Source organism: Homo sapiens, chromosome 14 (assembly GCF_000001405.40).
Source record: "Homo sapiens chromosome 14, GRCh38.p14 Primary Assembly".
In the NCBI taxonomy this organism is placed as follows: Eukaryota; Metazoa; Chordata; class Mammalia; order Primates; family Hominidae; genus Homo; species Homo sapiens.
The window spans coordinates 79,359,505-79,379,349 of NC_000014.9; the positions used below are offsets into that span (position 1 = coordinate 79,359,505).

At 37.1% G+C, this 19,845-nt stretch overlaps 1 protein-coding gene across 56 annotated transcripts in view, besides 5 other annotated features; it reads left to right on the forward strand.

Moving 5' to 3' along the window:
• Window positions 1-19,845, forward strand: part of NRXN3 (neurexin 3) — a 1,697,919-nt gene that overhangs the window by 1,189,132 nt on the left and 488,942 nt on the right. The gene's annotated exons all lie outside the window — the stretch shown is intronic.
• Window positions 11,879-12,048: an enhancer, noted in NCBI's record as "experimental_37315 CRE fragment used in MPRA reporter constructs". NCBI's record gives its function as "activates a minimal promoter by MPRAs in K562 erythroleukemia cells, with activity observed for the introgressed 14:79837811 variant allele {active_cell/tissue: K562}" and the evidence as "EXISTENCE:reporter gene assay evidence [ECO:0000049][PMID:34662402]".
• Window positions 14,201-14,803: an enhancer, noted in NCBI's record as "OCT4-NANOG hESC enhancer chr14:79840048-79840650 (GRCh37/hg19 assembly coordinates)". NCBI's record gives its function as "activates a minimal SCP1, AML or CMV promoter by ChIP-STARR-seq in naive H9 embryonic stem cells {active_cell/tissue: H9 hESC(naive)}" and the evidence as "EXISTENCE:reporter gene assay evidence [ECO:0000049][PMID:30033119]".
• Window positions 14,804-15,404: an enhancer, noted in NCBI's record as "OCT4-NANOG hESC enhancer chr14:79840651-79841251 (GRCh37/hg19 assembly coordinates)". NCBI's record gives its function as "activates a minimal SCP1, AML or CMV promoter by ChIP-STARR-seq in naive H9 embryonic stem cells {active_cell/tissue: H9 hESC(naive)}" and the evidence as "EXISTENCE:reporter gene assay evidence [ECO:0000049][PMID:30033119]".
• Window positions 18,275-19,068: an enhancer, noted in NCBI's record as "OCT4-NANOG hESC enhancer chr14:79844122-79844915 (GRCh37/hg19 assembly coordinates)". NCBI's record gives its function as "activates a minimal SCP1, AML or CMV promoter by ChIP-STARR-seq in primed H9 embryonic stem cells {active_cell/tissue: H9 hESC(primed)}" and the evidence as "EXISTENCE:reporter gene assay evidence [ECO:0000049][PMID:30033119]".
• Window positions 19,136-19,691: an enhancer, noted in NCBI's record as "NANOG hESC enhancer chr14:79844983-79845538 (GRCh37/hg19 assembly coordinates)". NCBI's record gives its function as "activates a minimal SCP1, AML or CMV promoter by ChIP-STARR-seq in naive H9 embryonic stem cells {active_cell/tissue: H9 hESC(naive)}" and the evidence as "EXISTENCE:reporter gene assay evidence [ECO:0000049][PMID:30033119]".

Genomic DNA, 19,845 nt, shown 5'->3' on the forward strand with positions numbered 1-19,845 from the left:
ATTCTGTCCTATATTAATTTCATTGGAGTTACTCTTTATCAGAGCAAACATCCGTAACATTTAGTCTTTTTTTTTTTTTTTTTGGAGACAGAGTCTTGCTCTGTCGCCCAGGCTGGAGTACAGTGGCGTGATCTTGGCTCACTGCAACCTCTTCCTCCAAGGTTCAAGTGATTCTCCTGCCTCAGCCTCCCAAGTAGCTGGGATTACCGGTGTGTGCCACCACACCTGGCTAATTTTTGTATTTTTAGTAGACATGGGGTTTCACCATGTTGAGCAGAGCAATAACTCTGTAGGGAATCACCCTTGCAAGCCAGTTACTTAAAAATTGGCAAGGACAGTCACCCCCACTATTACTCTGAAGGTGACTTCCACAGAGCAGAACAATGGGAAAAGACTTTATTTCTTTATAAAGCAATCAGAACTTAATGAGAACAGATACGCATTGAAAGAATTGTCTTTGCTACCTAAAACGAAAATACTTGGAAGGTGGAAACAGGCATTTGACATTTTCGATTATGGAAACTAATACAAATGTTATCCCATTGAGGCTACACAATTATGAAAAGAATTATGCTGCAAACATATGTAGTTATTTAACTTGAGGCCACAAATCAAGGTGGTATATTAAATATACATTAATGTATTACGGGAATTGTAACCGTAGCTTCCTCCCAACTCCCATTAACTTCCTGCATCAAAATGAACATTTTTCCCCTTTGCCCTAGTTGATGAAATTAACAACATAATTTTTTCTCTTTTAAGTCACATCTTTAAGGATATGAGGATAAGGCAGAGGGTCAGGAGAGTTAGTAGTGGTCTTGAACTCCTGACCTCAGGTGGTCCGCCTACCTTGGCCTCCCAAAGTGCTAGGATTACAGGCGTGAGCCACTGTGCCCAGCCATTTGTAATATTTACAGAGCATTGCTCTTTTTCTTATCATGGAAAGTTATTCCAATATCTATTCATTCTATACACATTTATTAAGCATCTACTATGTGCCAATGTTAAAGAGGTGAAAGTGTAACCTTGGCCCTCAGACTGACTTTTTGCAGGTTATGCTGAAAGATGAATGCTCAGTAATAGCTCGTGCCTTAAGACGTGGCCGAGCAAGCTTTGGAGGTAAAATAGCTCATGGAGTTTTTATTTATTTATTTATTCTTTAAAAATGGTCACAAAGATTTCAGATAAACAATCTGAGTATGGCTAAATTATTTTTCTTAGGTAAACATAGGAGGCAAGAAATTAAAAGGGTGGGAGAAACATTAATTAGGCTATGCTCTTATCAAGTAGTGTGACCTTAGCGAATTTACCTAATCTTTTTGAACCTCAGTGTCCTCATTTATAAAATGGAGGCATAACTTTTTATGAAGATTAAGATAATGTGTGAACAATCTGTGCAGTAGTAGTTGCTCAATAAATGGTAGTGATTTTCACATGTATTTGGACTATTGTAGAATATAGAAAAGAATATCATGCAAACTCTAGTCCTTTAAATATGAGTGAGGAAGAGGAATCACCTGTGTGTATGTGATTAAAGCTGTTAGCTATGATGAAGGCAGGGTGATTTTTCTCTGAAGGGTAATTCGAGTACAGAGATATTACTTTGAAGAAGTAATATGTTAAATGAAATCATTGGGGCTGAAAGTGGTAACAACATTCTGGGAAAGGAGCCGTTTACTCTCTTCACCTCTAAGATAAACCATAATGCATGCATGTATTTAATAAACTGTGATAGCTAGAGCTGTTTCACTGGGGCATCAGTAAGCTATCCTCAACCCCCTTTTCTTTTCTTCCAGCTTTTCACTTCCAACCCCCTAAGTTTTATCAGAATTAGTTAATACTGAGTCCAGCTGAATACATTGCTTGTTATAAATAGAATGCTTTCTCCCTTCCTCTGCCCCTGACCAAACAATTGATTACAAAGTTTATCTGCTGAGTGCGGTGGCTCATGCCTGTAATTCCAGCACTTTGGGAGGCCGAGGTGGGTGGATCACTTGAGGTCAGGAGTTTGAGACTAGCCTGGCCAACATGGTGACACCCCGTCTCTATAAAAAATATAAAAATTAGCCCAGTGTGTTGGTGCATGCCTGTAATCACAGCTACTTGAGAGGTTGAGGCAGGAGAATCACTTGAACCCAGGAGGCAGAGGTTGCAGTGAGCTGAAATCACGCCACGGCACTCCAGTCTGGGTGACGGGCTAAATAGAATGAAAAAGGAATGACCCATACCTGAAATGTTTAACATAATAAAATGACTGATATCGATTGATGACGTTGAGAGCAATGACCAGATATAAGGGAACAATGTGTTTTTACTTGGATTGTAGATATCAAGAATACAGGAGAATGGAATGGGAGGGCTAACAACTCTAGACAACATGGCTGCAATCTATGACTTTGCATTCTTGCTATAATTTACTTTCAGTGCTTTTACAAATGTAAGACTCTCGAGGCCAGCAGTGTATCTTTTACGCTATTCATTCTACTTTTATAATTATTATTATTATTATTATTATTATTATTATTATTATTTGCAACCTCTGCCTCCAGGTTTCCAACAATTCTTCTGCCTCAGCCTCCCGAGTAGCTGGGATTACAGGCGCGGGCCACCATGCCCAGCTAATTTTTTATTTTATTTTATTTTATTTATTTATTTTTTATTATACTTTAAGTTCTAGGGTACATGTGCACAACGTGCAGGATTGTTACATATGTATACCTGTGCCATGTTGGTGTGCTGCACCCATTAACTCGTCATTTACATTAGGTATATCTCCTAATGCTATCCCTCCCCTCTCCCCCCACCCCACCACAGGCCCCAGTGTAAGAAATACAATAAACAAAGTATCTTTTATTTTGGCTACGTAGTTATGTTGAGGGTCATTCATCGTCCTCCAGTTTAGCCTATTTGGAACGGTACTGGTTAATCTCAATAAACAAATAACATTGTCAGTTTAATTGTTCAATTATTGGAGGGAAATAAATATATATTAACCTAAATGTTAAATTCTGCAGGAAAAAAACTGATTAGACATAGACAATATCAACATGGGTTTGTTAAATAACTTGCCTTCCAACAGGACCCAACCAGAAATTGGAACCTATGTTTCATAGAAACATGATTCTTAGAAATGATCTTTACACAATTGTAAAACAAAGGGAAGATTATGTGACGCAGATGCCAAGAAATCAGACCTAGGCACCATGTACAAGTATACAAGCAATGCCGAGTTCATCAGTCCCATGGCTGCTGCTAAATTGGGCTTTATCCCCAGCAAATTAACACAGTTCCAGCAGGCACGATAAGTTTACTCTGACCAGATTACTGGGTTGAATGGCATATGCCGTTATTTTAGAAAGATGCAGAATAACATTTCCATTTAGAGTCCTGGCAGAACAAAGCTTGGATTTGGGCAATAGATAAAAACACATAGAGAGTATTTGCAGATGCATGTGATAGATAGAAATGGTGAGTGACCATTTAGAAATTTAGAATTGGAATTTTTTTTTTTTTTTTTGAGTCTCGTTCTGTCACCCAGGCTGGAGTAGTGCAATGGTGTGATCTTGGCTCACTGCAACCTCCACCTCCTGGGTTCAAGCAATTCTCCTCCCCCAGCCTCCTGAGTAGCTGGAATTATAGGCGCCCACAACCGCACCTGGCTAATTTTGTATTTTTAGTAGAGACAGGGTTTCGCCATGTTGGCCAGGCTGGTCTCAAACTCCTGACCTCAGGTGATCCACCTGCCTCGGCCTCCCAAAGTGCTGGGATTATAGGCGTGAGCCACTGCACCCGACAAAAATTGTCTCTTTTTTGATATTTCCTAGAGCAGTGTGGCTCATTTAGATTGAAATATCTGTCAGAAGCTATATACCAGTTCCATTGATTTCAACATTAAAATGTCTCCACATATTCTTCCGCATCCTTCTTCCAGCTCATAGCTGTAATTAGTGTTATGCTCCATGGAGTGGCAGAAGACCAGCTGAACAAACAGCCATGTACGTAGGAACAGTTCCAGGCAGCTAAAAGAGCTTCTTCCTCACTTGCCACTATCTTAAATGGTATCTGGTGTCTACAGTTGCTCCTTCTACTTTCTTAAGAAAAAAAAAAAAAAAATCCAAATGGAAAAGAGGACTCTGAAGACAAATTAGTCCTTTACAATTATAATTTTATTTGATTTCAAAGCAGTACTTGGTATAGCACCAGTCCAAACAGATTGGAAGAATGATATTTTCATTCCAGCTCCTGCATAGAATATCTTTGTGCTTTTCAATTGCTTTAGGGAGCTTGCAACAATAGAATCCTGTTAAATCTAACACCATTTTGAACTCTTCCTTGCCGATATTGTGATAAGAAATTTATACCTGGCCCAGGTTTATCTCTGTTGATAATGGGCTTCATGGCTATAGGGACATGTTGATATGGTGAGCTAGCACCTATCATTTTGACACCTACTCTTTAGTAGACATAGAGAATAATGGGTGCTTGGGGTAAAGTGCTGGAGAAGAGTGTCAGCAGTCAGTGTGTATGAACCTAGTGATGGATGTCTCTGTGTTTGTGCTGTGGCCATATCTGTATGGCTATCATTCTTTCTTCCTCTTCTCATTTCTTTTAATTTTCCTTCAACAGTCTTTCATTTGTTGCTTCAATTCACTCCATTTCTCCCCAGTTCTTCTTTTTTCTGTCTTCTATAATTCTAGATAAAATTATGACATGACTTAAAATATCCTCCTTTTTTGTCCGTGATTGCTTTCAATGGTTCTAATGACCCCATTGGAAGTCTGGTGATTAGGCCCTGAGGGGCCACAGTAATGGAAACCTTGTGTTCAGCCTTCATAAGGGTGATCCAAAAATGTTATTACATTACTTACACCTCTTTCTGTAAGTATTTTTTCTTCATTCACTTCGAAGTATGGGATGCTTCCCATGTGCAGGAGAATTAGCTCATTCATAACTCAAAGGCAAGTAATTTCATGTTTTGCTATTTATAAGAGAGGAGTCTATCATGCAAGGATGCAAAGGAGTATGAAATCAGTCACAAATGTAGGAAATAAAAGGCAATAAGCTTCCATTAAACCAAACAAAAGAAAAATTAATAATTAGGCAGTCTCTTTGCAAGTACATAATAATAATACTCTATTTTTCAATGAATCAATTAGGTAAAAATGAAACAAAATAAATGCAAAGAGAGCCCTCAAAAATATATCACTTTTACATATGTAATATAAGTTGAACATCTCATTAGAATAATGTGACTTTTTTAAAATTTATTTTTGCTTCCTAGAGTTCATAAATCTTCAGGTGGTAAGTAGGGGTTCTTTAGCTATTCATAATGCAACTTGCTTAGGTTAATTAGTAGAGACCCTTTCCCTTCACAGCTGAATATGAGTGCCCCTACTTACTATTCAAAAATCCCCAAAACCAGCACTCTTCTATATATTGGTGCTTGGAAGAGATTGTATTTTTCATTGACCTGCAATATTAGGTATTTTATTATAAATAAAGTCTCAAACAGGCTTTATTTTATTTGTCAGATTCTCTTTTGGTTTCGTCTCATAAAATATTAGCTGAATAGTTATTATATAAAAAGGAAATGATCAGAATATCACATTTCGGGTGGTGGTGTTTAGTTTGTGGGTTCCTTCATGTGACAGGTTGAACTGGGTGGTAGAGAATTCTGAGTTCTGTACAACAGAGTGATTGATTTCTCGGTTTGCATTTCTTGGCATCTGGCAGTGACACCACTGCAGACCGAGAGCAGAAAATGGACAGTAGGGAAAAATGCAACATTTCTACTTGGTCCAGCTGCCTTTGAAGGATGCTGATGTTTCATTTTTTATTTCTTACCCCAAACATATTTATTTGCTGAGTCATTAAATAGGGCAAGTGTTATTTCTTTCTTTGTATTTGCCATCTCACCACAGAAGAGTTTTATTGGCCGGGCGCGGTGGCTCACGCCTGTAATCCCAGCACTTTGGGAGGCCGAGGCGGGTGGATCATGAGGTCAGGAGATCGAGACCATCCTGGCTAACAAGGTGAAACCCCGTCTCTACTAAAAATATAAAAAATTAGCCGGGCGCGGTGGCGGGCGCCTGTAGTCCCAGCTACTCGGGAGGCTGAGGCAGGAGAATGGCATGAACCCGGGAAGCGGAGCTTGCAGTGAGCCGAGATTGCGCCACTGCAGTCCGCAGTCCGGCCTGGGCGACAGAGCGAGACTCTGTCTCAAAAAAAAAAAAAAAAAAAGAAAAAAAAGAAGAGTTTTATTAAACCATCTCGAATCGATATTGTTTTGGCACAAATTGCACTAATAACTTGAATATATAGTTTTGTTTTTTTAAAGGTGCCTTCAAAATCTGATACGTATAATGTATGTTAAAATTGATATTTCTGTGAAAGAGGTTAAGATCAGACCGCTTTCTGATTGCAGAGATAAAATTGATAGTTAACAAGTATTTATTAAACATCTATTATGTGACTAGTACTATGCTAGGGCATGATGAAAATGATTCAAGATGAACCATGCAAGCACCCCTCTCTTCAGCACCTCTGTGTGTAAAACATAAACAGAATGCTATGATTAACACTGAAAGGGTTCAGTCCGGGATACTTGGGATAAAAATCGGAGCACTGATAAGTTACTTGTCATGTACTTACTTTTTTAAAAATTTAAAATTTTTTAATTATGGGTACATAATAAGTATATATGTATGGTATACATGTGATATTGTGATACAGGCATATAATGTGAAATATCACATCAAGATAATTGGAGTATTCATTACCTCAAGCATTTACTGTTTCTTTGTGTTAGGAACATTCCAATTCCACTTTTTTAATTTTTAAAAATATGCAATACATAATTGTTGACTATAGTCACCCTGTTGTGCTATCAAATGCTAGATTTTATTCATTCTATCAATGTTTTTGCACCCGCTAACTGTCTCTACCTTTCCCTTCTCTCCCCAATACCCTTCCCAGCTTCTGGTAACTGTCATTCTACTCTCTATCTTCATGAGTTCAATTGTTTTAATTCTTAGCTCCCATATAAAAGTGAGAACATTCCATGCACTTCTAATTTAGACTCTTCTCCTCTTTCTCTGTCTTCTTTTTTTCCATAGCTCACTAATTTTGGGCATCTCTTCTCATTTACAGTAGCTTGCTGCTCTTCATTCATTAATTATTACAATATATAATTCTACCAAGAAGCCCAAAGAACTATAGTGTTTTTATGTCATTATTCTCAGTTCAGAAAGAAAGCATGTGTGTGGCACAGGGAAGGCATTTGAATGAATGTATGCATTTTCTGGATAGCATTCTCGAACAGAGATTTGATGAGAGTCACATGGATAATTTTAACTTTTCTAGTAGCAATATTAAAAACACAGAAATAGCTTCTCAATAACTGAATCAGTAATCCATTTTTAAAATCTTTTTCAATTCATTAAAATTAAATAGAATTAAAAACTCAGTCCCTTAGTCTTTTTTTTTTTTTTTTTTTTGGAGATGGAGTCTTGCTCTGTCACCCAGGCTGGAGTGCAGTGGCGCATTCTTGGCTCACTGCAAGCTCTGCCTCCTGGGTTCATGCCTTTCTCCTGCCTCAGCCTCCCAAGTAGCTGGGACTACAGGCGTCCACCACCACGCCTAGCTTATTTTTTGTATTTTTAGTAGAGACAGGGTTTTACTGTGTTAGCCAGGATGGTCTCGATCTCCTGACCTCGTGATCCACCAGCCTCAGCCTCCAAAAGTGCTGGGATTACAGGCGTGAGCCACCACGCCCTGCCCCCTTAGTCTGACTGACCAAATTTCATGTGTTTACGGATTGACAACCATGTGGGTAGTGCAGGTTTTGGATGCATGGCAGGCTGAAGCTTATGTAGCACATATTTGACCTTCACATTTTATTAAGTCTAATTTTTTAAAGTTTTGTCTGTTCATTTACATGTGGAAGGATGATAGAAATATAGGAAGAGACATGACAGAAAGCTTGCCTAGGACTCAGATCAAGGATTCAGATTTCCCAATTCCGGCTTCAGGGCCCTGTTCTGTAACATCACATCAGGGAAAGGAAAATGAGAGAAAAGAAGAAAGAATAAGAACTAATGTTAATTCATGTCAGACACAGTGCCAAAGATCTTTATTTGCATTATTGTTATTATTTTTTAAAAAATAAATAGACTAGCACGTAGCCTAGCTTACACACTTCTCATTGTATAGATGAGGAAACTGGGAATCAGTTAAACTTTATAACCACACCAAGATCATTGAGCTAGTAAGTGGCAGGCTTGGGATTTAAGAAAGCTTGTAATGATGTTACATTTGATGGTTTAAACTGTGCTGTGGGAAGGGAATCCAAGAAGATAATCCCATGTTTCTGCTTCTTGTGATGTTTGCAAATCTGTGTTCTGGAGTAAGTCTTTGAGTTGACTCTTGGAGCTTCTGAAACGTCTATTGGATATACTATAACCAAAGATAAATAAATAAATAAAAAGATCAGGGTTCCTGAACGTTTTCATCTTTACATTGATTGCAATGATTACAAGTGATCATTTCATCACTTGGAGCATTATTACCTCTATGGGGCTTTACATGATACTGACTTTGTCAATAAAAGGACATATTAGGAGCAGGATTTCTGTTTGGGCCAGAACAAGGGGACATACCCTATTTTTAAAATTCCCCAGTTTAGGAATTGAAGTGACTGCATACTAAAGTTGGCCAAATTTCATGTGGCTATGGAATGAGAATATATGAAAAGTTGGTTGTAAAAACAATTAAGAGGATTGGGGCAGACTATTTTATGGATCCCTTCCTCCTTAGCTTCTGAAATGAACTAACATTGATTCTACAACCACTTATTAAATACCTACTTTTTGCCATGGCTGATGCTAAGTGTTGAGGCTAGAAATGCATATGAATTATATTTTAATAAGCACAGAATAAAGAAAACTTGTCTTCCTAATTTTTACTTTAAAAGACTTTTATCTCATTGTTTAAGTGCCATAATTGTACAAAGCATGCTGTTCTGAGTTCAGTGTTTCTTGGCTCATTCTCAGTCAATACTCTGCATAGCATCTTTGAATTCCTTACTCATCAAAGGGTAATGAGTTAATTTGTGTACTCTACCTCTGCCACCTTTTGAGCTGTGTTGTTGACCATTCCCTATACATTTGCATCTCTGTCTGCCAGAAGATGTACCAGGAAAATAAAAGCAGCAGAAAATCTTATAACTTCCCACCTAGACATCAGTCACCATCAGAGTTTGGTCTGGAAACAGAAAAGTTTATTTAAAACAAAATTGGTACTCTGTGAATATTTCAACCATTTGTTCCATTTAATCCCCATTAGTGAATTTGCTTAGATTAATTTTTTTGTGGATTCCATTTCCAAGAATGAAAGCAAAATAATTACATCAAAAGGCCACTGAAATCAGCCAAATTCTCTGGCAGGAAACTTATTCTATTCAGTCACATTCAAACTATCAGGTATGAAAAATACCTTTCACCACTGGATAATACAACAATGGAGTTGGAAAATCAATCGTGTGGTAAATAAGCAAAAACTACGTGCAAACAGAGGAAAGAAGAGTTGTTCTGAAAATGGTATTTCAATAAAAGTTATAGTGATGACGAGCAGTGTGATGATGTAGGAAGTTCCAAAACTAGGTAGAGGGTATAATCAAAGGTGGGTACAATGGAACAAGCCTGGAGGCAAGGACGGGCCAGTCAGGAACAGGTGGGCTTATAGTGAAAGAAAGTGGAGGCTTTAGAAGTAGAGTATTTGATGAATTCTTCCGTCCATTCTATTTTGGCTTCTATGTCAAGGAGGATGACAGATATTCATTGTGTAGTTTTATAGGAAAGGCGATTGGTAGTGACTTCAATGTTATAAAGAACTTGGCCAAGTCCATAAAATGTCCATGGTGTATAACAAATCTTTTATGGTGAGTGATCCATGGAATTAGGTACTTAGAAAAGTCGATTGAAACATATTCACAGAAAGGCAAAGGTTTGATGACCTGGTGCATGGAATGAGACAGAGACACTGAGAAATTTTGATTGTACAAGTTTTTCCTAATATCCCACTTACATCCTGTAGCGGTGTGGGCCCATTTATTCTTTTTTATGTTTGGTTTCCCTGTCTCATGGTAAAATCATGGACAGATGTTACCCCTCAATTTTCTCTTTTTCAATTATTTCTGATCCTTCTCACTTTAATCAGTTTACTTGATAGTCTCTGCGCTAGTGTAATTTCTCCAGCCTTTTGAAAAATGTAGACGCTTGAGCCAGACAAAAGCACTTCAGCAGGAACATGACTAATCTTGAAGACATAGAGCAGGGCTGATAATGTACGCCAGGAACTGTCAGTTAAGAAATAGTGATACTGCATTGCTGACTCACAGTCAGCTCATGGGTCACTATGCTGCCCCCATTCTGTTGAGATTTCAGTACACTTTCCGTATATGGAGTTTCTGTGTTGGTACACATCCAGAAGGTTTCTTGGGCGCATTGACCTTCACATATTGTTTGGTTAATTTACCTAACTTGGTATTAATCAGACAGAAAAGACAAACATGAAGTAAGGAAAGTCGGCCTTTGCTGTTCTCCCTTGAACTTGGCTTCACTTCTATCCCCACCATTTAGTAAGGAAGAACAGCCCCAATTTATTGAGTTGCTATGAGCCAGACACTGTGTAAGCACTTTCTACACATTATTGCATTTAATTCTCCAAAGAATGAGATAACTATTATAATCTCTGTTTTATAGAACAACCAGCTAAAGTTTATCGGGTTTTTTTTGTTTCTGTTTTTTTGGGTTTTTTTTTGTTTTTTTTTTTTGAGATGGAGTTTTGCTCTTATTGCCCAGGCTGGAGTGAAATGGCGCCATCTTGGCTCACTGCAACCTCTGCCTCCGGGGTTCAAACGATTCTCCTGCCTCAGCCTCCCGAGTAGCTGGGATTACAGGCATGCGCTACCATGCCTGGCTAATTTTGTTTTTTTAGTAGAGACAGGGTTTCTCCATGTCGGTCAGGCTGGTCTCGAACTCCTGACCTCAGGTGATCTGCCTGCCTCAGCCTCCCAAAGTGCTGGGATTACAGGCATGAGCCACCGTGCCTGGCCAAGTTTATGTTAAATAACTCGTCCAGAAGGTGTAGTGGGATGTTTGACTCCAAAATACATGCTTTTACCGCCTCAACTGACTGAGCTTGGGACTACCTCTAACTTTCATTAGAAACACAAATCTTTTTCTAATAAACTTTCTTCTTCTTTTCAATAAAAACATTTCCCACAAGGTGACTTAAATTCATTCACAATTAGGTATAAATACTGATAAGAGCAGTTAACTTGTTTTAAGAGTCTAATATGTGCTAAGCCTTATGCCAGATGCTTTACAAGCATTATCTTAAACCTTGTAACAATTTTGCAAAAATGTTACTCTATTTTATAGAACCAAAACCCAAGACTATGAAAACCTAAATATCATCCTCAGAGTCATACAGCGAAGCAGAAATTGTATCAGCTAATGAGACTTAGTGCCATTTCTCTCATATTGTGTGAGAAAAATGGCAATGCTCAATAAATGTTGTTCTAACTGTTCCAGGTATCAAGCAGTAGAAAAAGAATATGGCAGATCAGGTGGATTTTGCTGTCAGCCCTGGAAACACTCAGCTGGTGGCTACATAATCCATCATCTCCTGAAGCTTTCATTGTCCACATTTTTTTTCTACCCTTTAGTCATGTGTTTGTAAGGAATAAATTACTAAAATACACCATACCTTTTAAAATATAGAATAAAAGCTCACAGAGAGTTAGGGTGACAGAACATATGATTCAACCTTCTGCCTTCTGGCAGACAGTAGGCTATTTCTTTTAGGTGGGTATCTAGGAATAGATACTTGCATATAATATTTTTTTTTTGAATCCCAGACTGGTCCTACTAACATTCTTGATTACCACTTATTTAAGTGACCATCAAACCAGTTTTATATCTGATATGTTTAATCCAAATAAATGTCTTTTTTTAAAAAACTGTTTAAAAAATGGTATTTAAATCCTTCCCAGATTTTAGCTGTGTATAGTCTGGAAGGAAACCCATTCACATGGTTTTATCAGGTTTGATATTTAATAGATCAAATTAGTAAAACAGGGCCCTCACTTCACAGGCACGGTGAATTCTTTGTTGATAAGATCTATCAATGATCAGTATGGATCATTGGATGGCAGTGAACGTATACGTTTGTGGGGAAAATTCTTATGCACCTTCATAGTAATGGTACTGCCCATTTTATTTGAGGATAATTAAAACACAAAATACCCAACGATGCTGTTTTTATTGTAGGTATATGTTAATTCCTCTAGAGATAGACAAGACTCTAAATTCATGGAACTTTAAGTGGGATGTTCCACAAAGGAAACTCTTTAAAATAATATAGAAAAATAAATAAGTAAATGTCAACCAAAATGGCAGAACATTTAAAATCAGTCTGCCAAATATCTTTTCTCACTTTACTTCATTTGTTGAACAATTTATATGCTGATATAGATGGCCATTTTAACAGTGTATACAAAGCATTTATATCCACACATGTACATTTAATCAAACCTACATGTCTACATACACATACTTAAGACACACATAGAGAGTGTGTGAGAGAGAATCAACTCATCATAATTGTAAAGGTGAAGAAAATTGATTCCTTAAGACTAAAACACACCATATTAAACTTGGAGTTTATATTTTGAAAATAAGATTCAGGAAGTCTTCTAAAGCATTCGAAGATTGATTAGAAAGATAAATTTCGGCACACAGGGTCTCTGTTCTTGTAACTTTCCCTGTGGTAGCTTATCCCTCTGTATAATACATTTTGTCATCATTCTTTCTTTCCTCCCTGATACAATAAAAATAATTTCCAAGGTTAGATTCTATCTTGCAAGAGCTTTTCCCCAAGGAGGTGCATGCATCTTCTTAATTTATTATATTATATAATAATTCCTCATAGGAAAACTAAAGGCAAATTAAAACCACATGGAGATAATGCCTGACTGTGCTTTAGACTGTTGTCTACCACTGGCTCTTTAGAAAAAGATCAGAGATACCCCTCTCTTGATTGTCCATTTTCTTGATCATGCAATGTGGTATTTTAAGTTCTATGCTGGCTTTGATGCTTTTGTTAGTCAAGGTGCATGTGTGAATGTGTGAATTGGATATGTGAATGATTTTAATATTAGCTTAAATAAAACATTACTGGGAAGACAAATTTTCTGAAATTCCCATTTTCCTCTTCCACTTCCCCTACCCCCAAAGAAACTTGACATATTCGTTTCAAAGCATACACTGCTTTTTTACTATTTTTATTTTTATCGTGCATATCACAACCCCTTCATTAGTAGACATCATTGAGCATTAACTGTGACTTAATTCTAGAAAAAAATATTTTTGAGATACCCATTAAGATATCACCCCTGACAAATATAAAAAGAGACCTTGAGTTTACTTCATTTTAAATAAATAGACTGTCTTCATTTCCTAACTCTGTGAATCTGACGCTTCTTATCAACACCCCAAATTACTGTCAACAAATTCAAAACCATCTACTGATGAATGAGATGTTTAGGTCCAATTCTGATATGCCATGCTCATTCTCATACAGAGAAATACCTACACTCTTTTAAATATAGTTGTTATTGCTGTGACTTGCACCTACTAAACAAATGTAAAAATTCTTACAGTTCAAGAAATACCAGTGAAGTGTATATTATTGCCCTCATTACACAAAATGCTCATGGAAAACACTCTATCAATTCCAATTATGTTCTGGGGGGAAAAAAAAGGAAACTGAATAAAAAGCAATCCCAGAATATTTGACTGGGCTGGTTGGTTATAGCTGCTGAACAATATGTAATTGTAAGAAGTGTGGCAAAATGATAAAAATAAACTCAGTATTTGTTAAAGAAATGAAAACGTGGCAATAAAAGATTCCGGAAAGCGATTTAGTTTTTTGCATTACTTCTTCATTACTTGATTATTTTACTGTTTCATTTCTATTTACCTACCAAGTTGATTCTTTTGCATCTGGATTTTGCACAATTCTTTCAATAATATACGGTTCAGTGGCTATAATTACAGGATTGTTAAAGTTCACATTTTACTATTCATCTTGTTATCTCTGGTAATGGAAGGTTGGAATAAATGCACATAATTACATGGTTGGTCTTAAATTATTTTTATATTGCTCTTGCCAGGATATACTCGAAAAGCAGTATTTATTCTCTAATATTTATTTTTGGTGGTAGTGGTTTTAGCAAAATAAAAGTAATAAATACATAAATGGACTGGTCCCACGAGCTTACTATCTATGGTTTTTTTCAAATTAATTCTAACCCATTCATCTCTCTGAGCCTGCTAGGGGCAGGAGGTGCTTAGAGTCTATGGAAGAAAAACGTCATGTTTCAGAGCTCTGGTAACAGGAAAATGTCCCTCATGAGGTACTCATCATTTGATCTATTATTTTATCTATTTGTAGCAGAGTAACTCAGTAACCTACAGATCTGTGGACCAACTTACTAAATAAGGTGTCAAATAAGTTTGATTTCATTCTAAAGCAATGCCATGTCATGAAAGTAAAGTGAATTTTTTTGTTTGTATTATACTGGAAATAGTCTCATTGTACTATATGGCACTCAAAACATTTTATAAAAATCTTAGCACTATCAACTAAAAATTAACTCATAAGCTCCCGTAATTAACTGAACAGATGACTCCCTGTTGGCCAAAGGGACCCCAGAAAAGACTGAAGAACTGAGTTCGTGGCCATTGATGGAAGCGAGGTCAGAAACGCCTCATTACATGCCCTTTATGTTAGAGTTTAGGCACAACTGACCAGCATTAACATTAAAATAGAGATCATAAGATTAACTAAAGGGACTCATTGTGACACTAAAATACCACATTCTAAATAAGACCTAAGGCCATGCAAAGCAAGGGTTAAGGCATGCTCTGCAAACCGTAAAATCTTTTTTTAAAAAATTAATCCTGCATAATGTGGCTTACTTTCCAATCTGACTCTGGTATACCCTCACATGGCAGATAGCAGACCCCTTATCTTGACTTAAGCATCCCTTTGTATTGACCTCAAGTCTTTAGACAAAGCTTAACTCTTTCAATCAATTGCCAACTAAAGTATCTCTAAAACTCACCCATGACTTGTAAGCCCATGCTTCAAGATGTCCCACCTTTTCAGGCCAAACCAATGTATACTTTTCATGTACTGATTTATAATTTTACCTACAATTCCTATCTCCCCAAAATGTATAAAACCAAGCTGTAACCTGATTACTTTGGTACCAATTATGCAAGACTTCTTGGGTTTGCGTTTTCTTGGGCTGCACCATTCATATTGGCTCAGAATAAACCTCTTTAAAACATTTTACAGAGGCTGATTTTTCCATGAACAGCAGCATCCAAAAAATCCACAGGATACATGTATCAAGTATTTATTAAGTACCTACGATATGCCAGGCATTGGGCTATATATGAAAAACAGTGTTATCAGACATCCACCTAGTGCTCCTGATTAAAAAATGGATGTGAGCTCATTTTACCTTTACGGAGGTCCAGAGATTTAAATTACTTGACTAGTCCCTCAGCGAGTCAGGAGAAGAGGGGTTAAAACCTGATTCCTCCAGTTATATAGTCATTTAATGTTCTTGGACTTACCAGTACTTTTGAGTTTTTGTGTTTTTTTTTTTTTTTTCCTTAAACACAAAACTACACCCCCGCCTCCAGCTCCCACCCCCTCCCACACATATACCCTTTTTTCATAGAACAAAATTTGGAATAAATGGACTTTAAATGAATGCATTGTTTTGACTCTGCAGGGAAATGACATAGAGAAAATAAGGAATGGATCGTACATGCTCATGCACTGTCTGGGGCACTCCTGCTGAAGTCTCAGGAGTGTCTTTGGTTTGTTGTCTGAGACCTGAGAGTTAAAAAGCAGAGTGCCTTTTGGAGGAACACGTGTCTCTTTCCGCAGCGGGACGTGCACTTGATACACATCAGTGGGCATGCCATCAGTGCCTCGCAGCTCATCTTTCTCTTTAGGGTGGCTGTGTTGTTCTTCCGATGACTGGCTTGCCCTGGAGAAAAATACTGCTTAAATATTAAGATTAGATTAGTTTTCACACAGCCCCATTTTAACCACTAAATTTAAATCCCTCAGCAATCTACTTCCCAACCTTCCCTAGGCATAATATTCAGTTTAATAAATGGTTTGTATGCCATTATTTCTCATCAATATATAAAAACTAAAAGGAATTTTAAAAATCCATACATCTTGGTTGAGATGAAATTTGACTTGATGAGAAGAGATTATTCTTAGAAATGTTTCTAATTCCCAATCAAGGCATTCTATTTCAAAATGTAGGAGCATGGTTGAAAGAATAAATCTTTAGAAAATAATGTATGAGCATGGTTGAAAGAAGAAATCTTTAGAAAGTAATGTATATAATAATATACATATATGTATATATACTTATATATAAGTGTATATGTAAGTAATATATATCTCTCACAAATATTGTTTTAGTCATCATCATCATCATATACACGTGAATATATGTACATATATGTATTATATATGGTATATGGTATATATGTGTATATATGCAAGATATATATGAGTATATATACATGTGGGTGTGTGTGTGTGTGTATGTATATATATATATATATATATATATATATATATATATATATATATATATATACACATACATATGACTCCAAAAACAATTCCTCTACAAATTGTGTGTCACTTCCTTGACCCATTACCTCCCCAATGTATATATCATGTGAATATCAAACAATTGAATGTTTTGTTGGTACAATTGGATTCATTCACACGGAAACGTGGAGTCTATTTCTTCCTTCAAATCCTCATCCTCCAATTAATTAGCTGAAAAACTGACTGCATCTCTGATTCTCTAAGAAGCATGGAAGAGAAAGAAATGGGAAACCAGCTAGCAGCTCATTACATGAATTCAAACAGTTCCCTTTGAAGGGAAACTTTTTCCTGGCATAGATGATGTCATTGATGAGATTGCAAGGGTAGGCATTGTATAAAGATGAGATCCTTTTTAATTCTGTTTTCAAAACTATAAAGCTAAAATTTTTAGAATTGAAATTTCAGTTAACATGACCCATGTATTAGATAAAATGTCTCTTTAAAGCCTGGGAGCTCTCCAAGGTGTGGTGTGTTTCCTATTTGCTAGGTACATGATTACGATGCATATGGATAGATGTTTCTGAAGTGTTTCCTTCTAAGTGCACTATTGCCAGTCAGATTTACACCCAAGTAGCAAAGATGTTAATGCCATGCAATCCTATTAATCTAACATGTTGCTTTTGTGGATTAGAACTACTCAGACTCTACCTTTTAGTTGTAGTTATTTTAAATCTTTAATACTGAGCTATCAAATTTTCTTTTATGATACAAAGCTACTAAGTAGAAGATACTTGAATATTCCATTGGCTGACTGATGTGTTTATTAGGCACTTACTCTGTGCCCAACACAATGATAAACATTCTCAGCAATATCGTGAAAGTTTAACACAGGATTCCTGGCTTCCAGAAATATGATGTTTACTTAAGAAGAGATAGGAACATATGTGAAAAAGTTAAGCTTCATGTAGTATCTTAAGATGCTAAGTTTAGTATTCTGGTGGTGGAGTTTCTTATCAACAATGTTTCACAGAAGATATTGAGCTCAGCTTTTCATTATCAAAGCAATTGCATGAAGAAGAAATTTGAGAAAGTACAACCCCTGGTAATGATTGGAGCCTCTGAAACTTTTGTAATGTCAATATCCATAGCATGACTATTTTTTATTTCCGGTACTGATGTGGCAGAAGTTGTGGAGTAGTGTTTTTGAGTTATCCGCTGTTTAGGATCCTGTATTAAAAGAAGTATGTCGGCTGTGCATAGTGGCTCATGCCTGTAATCCTAGCACTTTGGGAGGCCGAGGCAGGCAGATCACCTGAGGTCAGGAGTTCAAGACCAGCCTGGCCAACATAGCGAAACTCTGTCTCTACTAAAAATACAAAAAAATTAGTCAAGCATGGTGTCGTGCACCTGTAATCCCAGCTACTCAGGAGGCTGAGGCAGGAGAATCACTTGAACCCAGGAGGCAGAGGTTGCAGTGAGCCAAGATAGTGCCACCGCACTCCAGCCTGGGCAACAGAGCTAGACTCTGTCTCAAAAAAAGAAATATGTCTCAGTAGTGCAGTTATCCTTCTGTAGGTTTGTATTGGTGTTCAGCAAGTATCTGGTAAATTAATGAATTAACAAGAGAATAGTTTCTATGAAGCAGAAATGCATAGCAAAGAAGTGGGGTGTTGAAAGGAACAGCTGGGATATCAGTTATACAGGTTGAAATGTGGCATTGGTACAATGACATATTAGTTATACTCTTACAAGTTGTCCTTGAGTGGGTGCTTGATAGAAGTTGGCTTGCAAACCAAAAAAGGTTAAACACTTGTCATGGCCTCAGGCTAATGACCCCTTCTAATATGCAATTCTGTTTTTCTCATTCTGAGAGCAAACCAGATGCCCCATGATGTGCCCACTGTTCTTTTGCTAATGTGTTCATCCTCAGTGCCTTCATTACCAGTTTCTTTCATTTGACATGCAAAGATCTTTTTTCTTGGCTCATCCCAGAGAAGTGGCCGGGCAAGTGTTCTCCTGAGAAAATGTTGATGACTCTGGCACACAGACCACATACAATTTGCTGCTTCCTCACATTCACACTGAAGTTGGCTAAGGTGCCCAGAGAGAAACCCTGAGCCCTGACTGCATCCAAAACCAGTCATTAGGGATGACCACCGTGGGATCCCTCCTACTGGGTGCCTGGTTAAAACTGAGTGTCAGAGAAGAGACTGGTGGCTTTGTCATTGACTTTCTTGTTCAGATGTAAGAGCATCATCACTGGGAGAAGGAAATGTGAATTGTGAAAATAAATAATGCAGATAGAAGAGTCGGAAGTACAGAGGAGTGTTCCTAGAGTGCTTTATATGGAGCTCTATTATGGTGCATACCATGGTGTGTTGTTAAGTTAGTTTACGTGTCAGTTTCCCCTTTACACTGTGAAATTTAGCAAAGCAGAGACTATGTCTGATTCATCTTTATTCCAAGTACCTCACAAAGGTAATGCTAGCGTTGACCTTAATAAGCATTTAATCATGTTTATTCATTTATTTTTTGAATGAATGGATAATGATTAAAATTGAGGTTTTTATCTCTTGATTATGGAGCTTAACTCATTGTGAGCCCATTGACATCCTGAAATACTTGCTGAATGAGAGAATAAATGAACAGATTTAAAAAAAAAAAAAAACCCTGAAGAGCTAAGCTTAAGCCACTATTTAGGCTTTGAAGTTGATCCATGTGGTCTTTTGTTTTGGATTGATTGTAGGGACTAAAGAAGTACTTCATACGTTGTGTTATCTTTCTGCTCAGGTCACTGTGGACGATAGATAGCCTTTACTTCTCCGCTTTCTCAATTTTCAGCCACTGGTATTCAACTGCAGGCCTTCTTTAAAAATGTACCTCTTTCTTTCAAAATTTTCTGAAAAGCTAGAATTTTTTTGTTTTTTGTTTTTTCCAGGAAAAAATTTTAACTTACTGGAGACCAATTTCTTTTCTTAAACCTGTCTCTGAGCTGAGTATACTGTATAGTCCCTATAATGATTTTGGTAAATCCTTAAGCATAAGGTGGTCATTGTGTGTGACGGTGTTTTCTGTTTAGTGAAGACAAATGGTGGGATGAGTCTCCTGCTAGGATGTGCAGAAATG